The sequence below is a fragment of the Homo sapiens genome, chromosome 2, assembly GCF_000001405.40.
Source record: "Homo sapiens chromosome 2, GRCh38.p14 Primary Assembly".
Classification (NCBI taxonomy): Eukaryota; Metazoa; Chordata; class Mammalia; order Primates; family Hominidae; genus Homo; species Homo sapiens.
In genome coordinates, this window is record NC_000002.12 from 43,385,491 (window position 1) to 43,398,370 (window position 12,880).

Consider the following 12,880-nt stretch of genomic DNA (forward strand, 5'->3'; position numbering starts at 1 on the left):
CAGTTACTCGGAAGTCTGAGGCAGGAGAATGGCGTGAACCCGGAAGGCGGAGCTTGCCGTGAGCGGAGATCAAGCCACTGCACTCCAGCCTGGGCAACAGAGCGAGACTCCGTCTCAAAAAAAAAAAAAAAAAAAAAAAAGAAGAAGGGGCAAGCATAAAGTCTATCTGCTATAAATGGACTAAAATTTACATGTAAAACTCATCTGTCTAAAGATTTTTTTAAAGGCTTAAGAAGTTAATAAGAAAAAAGTGTCAAACAGCACATGTAAGATGTTAATTATACTGATCTCTTTGAAGATTAACAAAGGTGATAGAATTTGCTGGCACTTGTAAACTCTTCGAAATCACAACTTTTAAAAAACCTCTTAAATCCATTTGATATTAAAAAAAAAAAACTCCAAACAAATAATCTTAGACCTTTTTAGAAATATGATTCTCAGGAAGCTAATGAAAAATGTCCCCCTCACCAGAAATTTTACTTTATAAAGATTAAAAAGGCATCCCAAATAGGAAAATGACCAAGATTCTAAATACCTATTCCATATGAACATGGGCCCATCAGTAAAACATCTGATATCTGATGCCCATACATACCTCAACAACTGCTTCAGAGTGGTACCAGTTCAAGACTATAACACACAACCCACTAATTAATAAGGAAAAAAAAAGTGGAGGATGAAGCAGGAAGGCAACAATTGGCCAAAAAGGTGAACATTTGCAAGTACAAATTCATACCTCAATTAATAATCCCATTCACTTGATGTAGAAAAGGCACAAAATATGCATGCTATTGACAGTAACAAGAGAAATTCAAGTAAGATTTAACTTATGTTTTTTTTTTCAAACATATGCCTTTGTCCAAAACAGAGAGCCTTCATTTTAATATAATAGATGTAGTTTTCCTTTTTTTCCCCAAATAGACAAAGAAAAACATGTATAAGAATTATTTGACAATTTCTAAAAGCAATAATAAGGATATGCTTTTAAAGGTCTTATTTGTATGCATCATACTACTTTGAGAGTCAAGTGACAGATTTACTACTGACTTTCTAGACATTTACATATATGAGGCATGTATAATATTTAAGGTCCTTTAAAAAATAATATTAACATAATTACGGGCTGGGCACAGTGGCTCACGCCTGTAATCCTAGCACTTTAGGAGGCTGAGACGGGTAGATTACCTGAGGTTGGGGGTTCAAGACCAGCCTGGCCAACATGGTGAAACCCCATCTCTACTAAAACATACAAAAAATTAGCCAGGTGCCAGTGGCGCGTGCCTGTAATTCCAGCTACTCGGGAGGCTGAGGCAGGAGAATTTGCTTGAACCCGGGAGGCAGAGGTTGCAGTGAGCCGAGAGCATGCCACTGCACTCTCGCCTGGGCTACAGAGTGAGATTTCCTCTCAAAAAAAAAAAAAAAAAGCATAATTACTATCTCCGTCATGTATGTTCAGTACCCGTTAGATTTATCCACGAGTTTCCTTTCTGAGGTCTGAATCTGGGAATATGGACAAAGCTTTATGCTTAACTCAAAGAAAACATTTTTATGTTCTGGGTTAAGTTTTCAGTAGAACCTCTGTTTTTAGAGAAGATTCATTCACACAGCCTCTTGTCCCCCACCCAAGAGAGGATCAATGAAACAGACAGCAACTGTACCTAGCAATTCATCAGTGTTTCAAGTAAAGAAGTGAGAAAATTTTAATTATGTGTCATTTTCCGAAGCTTCCTTAGGTAAACAGAAACTAGAATGTTATGCTCTCTGACTCTGAGGAGGGCAGAATTCAGTTTCAACTATACATTATGAAAGTGGATGAGAGGCAGGTTGGAACAAGGACATGAAGCAAGCTATAAGAAGCTAGGATTTTAAAAGTGAGCTGGCTTATATGTTCATAACACTTTTCCAGTAGAAAGACAGAAAGAGAGGAAGGAAAGTGCCTCCTTAGTGACTCCAGTCTGAGTTTTGTATCCCCCTACCTTTTCATTAATGCCTATGCACAGCTCACTGTAGTATGCTGAGCCACAACTTCTGCCCGGGTCAGGAATGGTTTCTTTGGTGGTTGCTGGTATTTAAGAGCTGTATCACACCTTGTCCCACAGGATGATGGGGAAAATCCATAGGTACCATGGAACAAAGGTTCTCAACTAGGGGCAATTTTGCCCCCGCCTCCGCCCCCTGCCTCCCTAGGGGACATAGGGAAATGTCTAGAGACATTTTTGGTTGTTGTTGTCACAAATGAAGGAGGGGTGCTACCAAACACACCACATTGCACAACGCACACACCCACAACAAAGAATGTCAAGAGTGCCGAGGCTGAGAAGCCCTGCCACAAAAGCAAAGGGTGAAGTGGGTAGCAATACAGAGAAATGCAAGAATGTCATGAACAACAATATGGTCTAAAATAGGAAAAGAGTTTTATTACTTATTTAAACTTTCCTTTAAGCCTGTGTGTCAATTTTACTTCAGGCATCTGGGGTGGCTGCCAAATTGGCTATACTCAACCACAGTGCTTTTAAATGGTCAGCTGTGTCCTTAGTAACTCAAATACGTTGGGTGCCATAAATATATCTAAGAGCTATAGCACAAGTACATAAACGTGCAATCTCAAATATGCTATCCCAATAAAAACAAAGGTCTTACTTTTGGCCTATTCCATTTGCATATACTAAAAACAAATAACAACAAATAATACTATTTTTATTGGTTGGGAACCACCAAACAAATCCCTTCACATTATGGGACCACATACCATCAGATATTTTACAGGGATTCTAGGAAATGACAAAAGCCTGACAGTGTACCCACGGTGAGATGTTTTGTTGTGTTGCATAATTTTTAAAGTATATTCAGAATTATCGTCAGTCATATGAAGTCTCAGACAGTAAGAGTGGAATGGCTCGCAGGGGATGGAAAGCATATCTTCCAAGATGAAAAAAAAACTTGGAATGTGCTAGATTAATCTATCTAGGAGGATCCTGTATCTCCTTTCACTTTATGAACTTCAAATTTCTCCCTTCCCATGATAAAAGAGTCCTTTGTCTCAGACAGTGTGAGACACTGATTCCTCAAGTTTCCAGTGGGATCTGAGGGAGAGGATGTAATTCAAAACAAAACAGGTGCAAGGAATAACAACCTGATAGGCAAGAACTCTGCCCTTAAAAATTTGAGCTAATCTCAGCTCTTATAATCTTTAACATGATCTACAGGAAGGCAGAGAACACAGTGACTGACCGGAGGAACCTCTCTGTGAAATATGATAACACATAAAGTCAAAATTGCTGAAAATGGACTTATTTGTCTCATGCACTCACACATCAATAGGAATCCTCATGTTTTACAGTATTATTTCAATGTACAACATTAATTTTTTTAAACACATTTTTCTTTAGCTCAAGGTCTTTTACTCACCATCTACACCAGTGATTCTTACATTTTTAATCATAACCCCCTCACCCCCCGCCCGTAGCAGTGGTGGTGGCAGTAGCAGCAAGTATTAATAATAGCAACTAACATTTACTGAGCATTTACTATATACCAGAGACCTTGCTACCCACTTCCCGCATATTAACTCATTTAATCTTCGCAGCCACCCTATGAGGTCATTTTATTTTCCCATTTACAGAAGAAGTGGAGGCACAGAAATTAAGTAACTCACCCAAAATAACACAGCTAGTAAGCAGCAGAGCTAGGATCCAGAGGGAGACAAGCTGGCTCCAGAGTCCACTCTTACCTACTACCTGAAAGGACCTTTCTGAGCACATGCTCCCAGCTTTTGTGTACTTATTAACTTAGAAATTATATATTATTCTATTAATACATTATGTACATTACATATCAAATGTAAAATAATAGCTAAAAGCCAGGTACACCTGTAGTCCCATCTACTCTGGAGGCTGAGGCAGGGGGACCACTTGAGCCTAGGAGCTCAAGGCCAGCCTATGCACCATAGCGATACCCTAGTCTCTAACAATAACCATAATAATAATAAAACAGGATGCGATAAAAGAAATAACACACTAACGTATTCTTCCACATATATTATTGTCTTGCAAACCCCACTTTGAAGGCTACAGGCCTACAGAGCCCAAACTGCTTGGCCCGGCATTTGTGGTCTCTCACATGCTGACCTGCACCCACCCTGCCATTCACACATCCTCTCTCCTTGACACAACAGGCTGGTTTACTCACTGCCTCCTGCAAACACTTTCTGATGCCCTCCTCCATGCCTGGGCTCATACCATGTCCCTTGCCTCAAAAACAGAAAGCTAGTTTCAAGGTTTATCCCAAGGCCCAATGTTCCCCTGAAGCCTTCTCTCATGTCTCCAGTCCATCCTGGTCTTGCCTCTCAGATGTGTGATCTCGGCCACATGCTTGGTGCACATAACATGTAGCCACGTATTTCTGTGTAATTGTCTGCAGTGTCAATGGTTTATTTTCCAGGTAGCTCATAAGCTTCTTGAGAGCAGAGAATATGCTATAAATTTTCTTTGTATCCTCCACAGTACCTGACATAGTATGTACTTAACTTCTCAATAAATATTTGCTAAGCAGAAGAATAAACATTCTCCACATTTACTCTACATCTCTAAGGCCCAGGTCCAGAGGGTTAAGGTAAAGGTCATACCAGAAAGCAGAGGAAGTAATATGATGGATACTTTGCTCTTTGCCTAAGCTCATCAGAACCATGACAGACTGACGGTATTCACGGTGATTCCAGAAGAAAAGGGTTTCAGAGTCCCCAGCAGTCCTGGCATCTATAGTATGACCACCTCGCTTTAGGGAGCTCTTAAGTTTCTAAAGTAATGGCATCCTTCCTGGCCTTGTTTATCCACTACTGCCCACTCTGTTGGCACTTTCCTATGGGTAAAGATAGTCTCAAACATGCAGTTGGTATACCTGCTTACAAATGTCTGCAGCCAGCACAGTTTCAGAAGAAAATATGTCTACCCTTTACCTTTATTCAAAAAATAAGAAAGTTTTCCCATGTCTTGTGATAGAATTTTGCTCAAACGTTTCCAATGACGACTATTCTGACATGCCAACTGCCCTCCTCTCCTATCTATTCCTGATTCCCCTTAGCCTACTCTACTTGTTCCTTTGTCCGCAGCAACGATTACCTTCTAACAAACTATCTAATTTACCTATTATATTTACTATAATAAGTTCTGATATGTTTTATTGAATGTTTATTTCTTGAACATTTCTTACTGTCTCCCTGCTGCTGGAATATAAGTACACTGAGAGCAGTAATCTTGGAGGGCAAGGATGTGTCTCTTCTGTTCTCTGATATAGTCCAAGCACCCAGAACAGTGCCTGGCACGTAGCTGGTGTTCAATTAGCAGTTGTCGAATGAATAAATAGATGACATCAAATCCCATTTTACCCACAACCCGAAGGCCCCAGATAGAATCCTTCTCCCCTGACAATATTCCTTTTCCTCATCCAGAGAAGCAGTATACTACAGTGGCTAACTGCACAAGCTCAAAAGCTTCAAACGATCCTGGGCTTGAATCTCAGTTTTGCTTTTTACCATTTAATCTTGCATAACTTTAGTGAAATCGCACAACCCCTCTTGTTTTCAGTTTTCTCACCAGTAGGATGGGAATAACACCTATCCTCCAGAAGAGGCTCTGTAGGAACTCAGTGACTGGTACATCACACTCACACACATACATCACATACACACACACTCTATCTCTCACTGAAAAAAATATATATTTTTCCTCTTTTTGCTATTAATTCCCCTACTCTGATCCTGAACAGTTACAAACACCTGAGGACACATCAAATGGCAAATCTCTAAGTTTCACTTGCCCCTGACTGATACTCTGAGTTCTGAGCACTTCAAAACAGCAGTACATTGCTTGGGGAACAACCACACAGTGCAGTACAGTCAATGCTCCAGAACCTGGCAGCTAAAAGCTGTCTCCAACACCCAGCAAAAGCTCCCTAAGTAACAGACACCAAATAAAAGCTTTTGGATGTTTATAAGGAAGGGATTAATTCATCTTCAAAAGTAGCATTTTAATTAAAAATGACTTTTTTGGGCTTATATCCAGAAAGGAATATATTGCCAAAAGGTAAGATTTAACAAGGTTTAGTCCTTTCTTTAGTTTTTTTTTTAAGAGCCCAATGCTTCCCAATCCTTTTCACATCAAGGCACACATAGAAAGTAATCTTTCTTTGGCACTCTGGGATAAAACCAACGATGCTGCTCCCAGCTGCAGGTGACTGCCTAGAGGCTCCAGCCCTGCCAGGCCACACTCAAGACTCCCTGAGAGCTGAAGGAATCAATAAATACCTTGGCACATCCATAGCCACGCCACTGGAGAAACTCTGCCTTAACCCTTCTTGGACTAGGGACCTTTCTAGCAACTTAAGATTTTTCTCCTTTCACACTAACACAAGTCTTCAAAAAGAAAGAATAAATCTGGCCACCTGACAAGAGTGAGCATTTTCTTTAAATTATGACTCATTCCAGAAAAAAAGCACACAGACCAGAAATCCATTTATAACTTACAGCATCAGCATAGTTTCATGCTTTTGTTTTTGATTTTCCATTCTGAAATAATATTTTCGAGGCATAAAACAAACAACAATGGAGACGGCCAACATCTTAGGTCGCCAAATGGAATCTATCAAGAAATGTTCCATTTCTGGACAGCTGGACCGTTTTATGTTTCACAATTTTGTAGTTTTAAGAAATATAAATGACATTAAAATTCTTAAAGCACTAAGACATTGACTCATATGGTTACATTTTTAAAAGATGGAAATAATTCTTTTATATTTAATCACAAGTTTTGATGTAACAGTAATATTAACAGAAATATATATACATATCTTTTCTATAAATGTTCATTTGCTTCCTTATTTAAGAAACTCCAGTAGAGTTGACACTTAAGGTTACCTCTATCACTGATTTTCTACTTGCTTCCACTGCTCCTGTCTGTAGAATAGAGTGAAGGATGGTTGGTTCCATCCCTGCTTCTTGCACAGTGATTCCTTCATACAACTAGCTGGCCGAACTAGCCTACCTTTACTTCTTTCTTTGTTTTCTGGTTTTCTTCCCGTAAAGGTAATGCTAAAGTCTACTCCAGTTTCGGTCTTCATGTGTCCCATCCAGCCCAACACTACTGTTCCCATCACGTAAAGATTCTGGCTCTACAGTAAACACAGAATCTATTGGGGTGCTCCAGACTCAAGCAGAAATGGCCTCAGTTTCAGTCTCCTTTTATGCCTGATGCCCTGTCTGGCATTGTATCTTCTGTCTCCTCTTCATTTCTGTTACTCATATGATCCCTGGTCCCCGAGGGCTCACTTGGCTTCTAATCCACAGCTCTCTTTAAGTTTGCATCAAAGGCAAACTCCTTGTGTTTTCACCAGTGCCTAGGACAGGGTAAGCAAGCTACAGTGTCTGCTGAATTAAATTCAGTCTTGACCACCTTCTCATGGTCCTATCAGTTCCTAGATCTAGGATCCATAACTCCTATGGTTACCCAAGTTTGAGAGGTTTTGTCAAACCCTTAAGGATGACAGAAGGTGGGGCAACTATGGACTTGGCTATAGCCTAGGTCCCAAGGGAGGATCTGTATTTCCAGATACAGATTTAGTAGCATTAAATGGAAGACCAAAGAGAAATGATGACAGAGAGATGAGTAGAGAGGGGAGGGTACAATATACCTTTCACGGGTCGCAGCTTCCCTGGGTTTCACTGACTTCTTCTGTCTCAATAACACAAATAGATTTACTTTGTTTCCACTGTATCATAACATACCCAATTAGATTTAAGGAGAGCAACTGAGTGATAAAGTATATCTTTAGATGGATCCTTGGTTTATTTTCCTTAGCCATAAAAAGCTGTTATTCACATCAGAGGCAGCACATTCTAAAGAAAATAGGAACACAGGCTTTAGAGTTTAATATGTTATCTCAGCCGGGTGCGGTGGCTCACGCCCGTAATCCCAACACTTTGGGAGGCCGAGGTTGGGGGGATCACTTGAAGTCAGGAGTTCAAGACCAGTCTGGCCAACATGGTGAAACCCAGTCTCTACTAAAAATACAAAAATTGGCCAGCCGTGGTGGCAGGCGCCTGTAATCCAAGCTACTCGGGAGGCTAAGGCAGGAGAATTGCTTAAACCCAGAAGGCAGAGGTTGCAGTGAGCCAAGATGGTGCCACTGCATTCCAGCCTAGGCAACAGAGCGAGACTCCGTCTTAAAAAAAAAAAAAAAAGAGCTAAATTAAGAGCAACAGATCACCTTTTATTTGTACATAACAACAACAACAACAACAAAAGACCCAAAATAGACAAGAAATGAAAAAACTGAAAATTCAAACTCTTATTTCAAATGGTATACATTTTCTTATGAATCACCCAAAATGTGAGTTAAGTACCCAAGAATCAGAATAAACCCTTCCTCATGATTGGTGGCCAAGCTCCTCCTCAATATAAGATTTTCTGAACTCCAATATGATTTCTTGAGAGTGATAAGTAACCTAGTAATAATGTTAAGTCCCCAACATGAAGAGTTCTGGCAACAAAAACAGAAGGTTAAATCTACTTAAAAGACAGAGCAGCCCTGCTAGTGATGTTCCCAAATGAGGTAATGTCCATGGCTCTTATCTAGCCTTTATTGAGATTTAATGTCATTTACCCCTGGCTCTCATGAATCTGCCGCATAACCTCACCTTTTCTAATGTGTGTTACTTATAACCATCTCAACACAGCAATTATGAACCTCTGGTTTTTAAAACGATTAAGAAATGAATCCCACATGTTCTTTTTTGCATGTGCTATAATTTGAGTCTTTCTTCCATAGTCCCAGAAAATTCAGAGATCAGCATATTTCTTGTTTTCAAGGTATACTATAGAAATACTCTGAGATTTGATATATTTATGTAAACATTTTCAAAGCAGTCAAAATGTATAATTCAAGAAAATGTTCTGTGAAAGAATTTGTTTTCTGATTATGAAATGATTTCCTGCTTTTGAAAAAAATAACAACTTTATATTTATTTAGCTGGCTCTGGAGGTCCCATGGAGATGACCATTCCTTTCAATCCCTAACACCTCTTTTCCAGGTGCAGGCTTTTTAATGATTTCAAAGGTAGCTTTATGTGGAGAGGAATCTATAAGCTGTAGAAAGGAAAAAGAAAGAGCCCTTCCCAACTTAACCCTTTATGCTTTCCCCATAAAGAACCACAGGATGGACAGAACTAGGACAACACAGGTGTGACACCCAAATGGACATGCCAGAAAGACTTTCCACATCCCTTTGACTTCTTTTTCTCAACCAGGGTAAACCAACCTTGATAAAGGTAGGAATCTGTCTGACAAACATGAATATGATACCCAACAACCACATTTGCTGGCTTTTATTCAACAAGCCCTTCATCCCACCAACACTTAGGAACAAGAGCAACAGCCACAACAACCCCAGGGTTCTAGGGTTTTAACCTTTCCACAGGATTTCACATTTTATCTAGCAGAAGAAGTAAACTTGAGACTATCAAAAGTAGCCCAGACACAGAGCAAAAGACCATGTTTTGTTGCTGGGCAGACTGGTGAAACCCAGCCAGACCTGCCAGTAGCACGTGTGGGAAACAAGGCTGGGAGGCTCATTTGCACAACTGGTGAGAGAGCCCAAGAAGCAACTCCAACCAAACTACTTGGATAAAGTTCAGCCAAGAGTGGATCTTCAGTAAAGAAAATCTGATGGCTGATCCCCTTGACAAGCTAGGCCTTCCTTCTAACTCAGATACAGTTCACACTTTGAAAAGGCTGTTCTATATTCCTCATCATTCCAGCCCTGCTCTTTTGAAGAAGCAGCAGAGTCTGACACAATCAAGAGATGTAAATTTTGAGGCAGAGCAAATGATAATTTTTGAGCCACAATGGTCCATCTTTAAGACCAAGACAATAACCCCTGTCCCTCTCCTAATCACAGGGATGTAGTGGAAACTCAAGGGAGATGAGTGCTCAAGAGTTTATATTAAAGAAACCACCTAAGACCCATAATGTATGTAACACAGACTAGATTATCTGAAACTGCAGTCTGGGGCTGTGCAATCTTTTCAAGAGGTCCACAAGACAAATTATTTTCAAGTGATGCCAAGAAAATAGTTTCCTCTTTTACTCTCATTCTCTCATGAGTGTACAGTGGAGTTTGCCAGAGGCTACAAGGTGTGTGATGATATCATTATATTGATAACTAATGCAATATGTGCTTGGAAGTCCTCGTGTTTTAATATTTTCTCAAGTTTACTTTTTTCTTTTTTGAGACAGAGTCTCACTCTGCTGCCCAGGCTGGAGGGCAGTGGCATGATCTTGGCTCACTGCAACCTCTGCCTCTGGGGTTCAAGCAATTCTCGTGCCTCAGCCTTCCAAGTTGAGTAGCTGGGACTACAGGCGTGCACCACCACACACAGTTAATTTATGTAATTTTAGTGGAGATGGAGTTTCGCCATGTTGGCCAGGCTGGTCTTGAACTCCTGGCCTCAAGTGATCTGTCCAGCTCAGCCTCCCAAAGTGCTGGGATTATAGGCATGAGCCCCCACACCAGCCTGTCTCAAGTTTACTTTCTAACTGAATATTGATAGACAAAACTCTCTGGGAGCCGCAACCCCTTTTAAGAGTGTAAAGAGGTCCTGAGACAAATTTGAAAACTGCCAACCTAGAACTTCAGTCCCACCCAAACCAGCAGTTCCCACTTGGGGGCTACCCACTGGGAGCCTTTATGTTGCTCTCTTTGCATGGGAGACTCCTTCCCTTTCTTTACTTGGCTAACTTCTTCAGTCTCTGCTTAGAGGTCACTTCCTCTGGGACATTTTCCCCGATTTCCTAGACAAGTCTGGTGGCCCTGCTATGTGTTCAGCCAGCACTTAGCACACTACATCATGACTGCCTATTTTCTGGTCCTTTTTTGTCCTTGGCTCCTTCAAGGCAAAAACTGACTTAGCTGCTATTGCGACTGTGACACAGTGAAATGTAGTAGGCATTTGTTGAATATAGAAAACAACCAAGGAACGGCCAGGCACAGTGACTCATGTCCATAATCCCAGCACTTTGGGAGGCTGAGGTGGGCGGATCACTTGAGGTCAGGAGTTCGAGACCAGCTTGGCCAACATGATGAAACCCCATCTCTACTAAAAATACAAAAATTAGTGACTGTGGGGACAGGGGGGTGCAGGCTGCTTGTAATCCCAGCTTCTCGGGAGGCTGAGGCACGAGAATGGCTTGAACGCAGGAGGCGGAGTTTGCAGTGAGCCGAGACTGCACCACTGCACTCCTGCCTGGGAAACAGTGTAAGACCCTGTCTCAAAAAAAAAGAAGAAAGAAAAAAGAAAAAGATAGTTCTATCTTGCATTCTTATTACCTAGGGGGAATTAGTTATGAAATAATTAGTTTTCATTATAGTATAGGTTTATTAAAATTAATGATAATAATAACAATAATGACTGTCTATATATCTTGTGGTGTACCCGGCACTATTCTAAGCATGTTGTATGTATTAATTTCCTTAGGGTTCACAAAGTCCCTATGAGGTATATGCTACTATTATCCTTATTTCAAAAATGAAGACATGGATGTATAAGTAATGCGGGGTAGATCTGAGATTCACACCCAGGCAGTCTGGCTCCAGAGTTTCACCTTGTTAATCACTCCACACACTGCCTGCCATGTCAGCAGTGTCGATCTCAGGCTTATAACATGTATTGAGATCTCAAGGCCATCTCTCAACTCTGTTCATAAACCAGGAACATGACCTGACATTTATTTTCCACCCCTAACCGCATGCCTATATGAGCACTATAGCAGCCATTTGAACAGGAGACCTCACCAATACTACCTGTCCTCAAGTTAGGGTTGAAATAGGGCAGTTTCAGTAAAAAGTCTCTTTCTCATTTATTTTTTGTATGTTATTCTTTTCTAGAAGAAATGTTAGGTTAAAAACAATAAACTTGTACATTTATTCAAAGTAATAAGTTTTTTTTGGTAGCACAGAGAAAACAGGAAAGGTTCAATACTTCCACGTACTAAGGTGCTGTGCCACAGGGCAAACTCTCCCTGATGTGTACAGCTCTTCCTGTGCCTCTCAGGCTAACCTCTCTCAAGGAATGCTTTCAGTTTCACTCGGAATAGGTAGTAGCCCAGAATGTTTTGCAGGCATACTTGATGGAAAAGACAAAGTTTTATCTGGTTCAGAGAGGTGAGGCCAAGTGGGAGAAAGTATACTGCAGAAAACACAGGATGTATTGCAAAAGATAATATAAGAGAATCACAATGTAACACTGTAGTGATATTTGGGATGAAAAAAGTATAACTAGGAGATACCTGATCTTTCGGAAGTAGAAAAAAAAAAGTTCTACAGATAAAGTTAAGAGGCTGTGTATCAAATCTTCACCAGCTAACAGTACATAAGAAACCAAAGTTCATCTTATGGTGTTTGACAGAAGTCACACAAAGCAACTTTACTTACCTGGAGAAGTGTCCCATGAATGTGGTTTTGCCGGAAACACTGGTCAGTGCAGCTGGGGAGTGTGGACAACAGAGTTCGAATGGTATTAGGAATGTGATCTATCATAACAAATGGGACCAAGGCACGAGCTGCCATTTCACGGGAGTGGTAGACAGGTGAGTGACCACACCTGGGGAGAAATAAAAACACAAGACCATTCAATAGTCATCTCCACATCTGTGACTTTGTATATACTTACATTCTATCTAGCATGGCCTGGAACATCCAGGGGTTAGGGGGAGACAGGAGCTGCTCCTTATCCCAAATGATGTTTTGTATCTGCACTAGTTCTACAGGTGACTTTGCTTTGGTTAAAAACATTGCTAGCATCTATAATTCTTTATCATGGAGATTAAATGTA

The 12,880-nt window shown here is 40.6% G+C and overlaps 1 protein-coding gene across 7 annotated transcripts in view, besides 2 other annotated features; it reads right to left on the minus strand.

Annotated features, from left to right (window-relative positions):
- Positions 1-12,880, minus strand: part of THADA (THADA armadillo repeat containing) — a 365,188-nt gene that overhangs the window by 154,640 nt on the left and 197,668 nt on the right. For all 7 annotated transcript variants that reach the window (NR_073394.2, NR_144316.2, NM_001345924.2 and 4 more), the window contains one exon: positions 12,481-12,649. Coding sequence is in view for 5 of the 7 variants with exons in the window: in NM_001345924.2 (NP_001332853.1) it covers positions 12,481-12,649 (169 nt within the window). In the remaining 2 variants the exon portion in view is untranslated. The remainder of the gene's footprint in view (positions 1-12,480; positions 12,650-12,880) is intronic.
- Positions 5,763-5,812: a silencer, noted in NCBI's record as "silent region_11425". NCBI's record gives its function as "represses an Ori minimal core promoter by ATAC-STARR-seq in GM12878 lymphoblastoid cells {active_cell/tissue: GM12878}" and the evidence as "EXISTENCE:reporter gene assay evidence [ECO:0000049][PMID:35858748]".
- Positions 5,853-5,952: a silencer, noted in NCBI's record as "silent region_11426". NCBI's record gives its function as "represses an Ori minimal core promoter by ATAC-STARR-seq in GM12878 lymphoblastoid cells {active_cell/tissue: GM12878}" and the evidence as "EXISTENCE:reporter gene assay evidence [ECO:0000049][PMID:35858748]".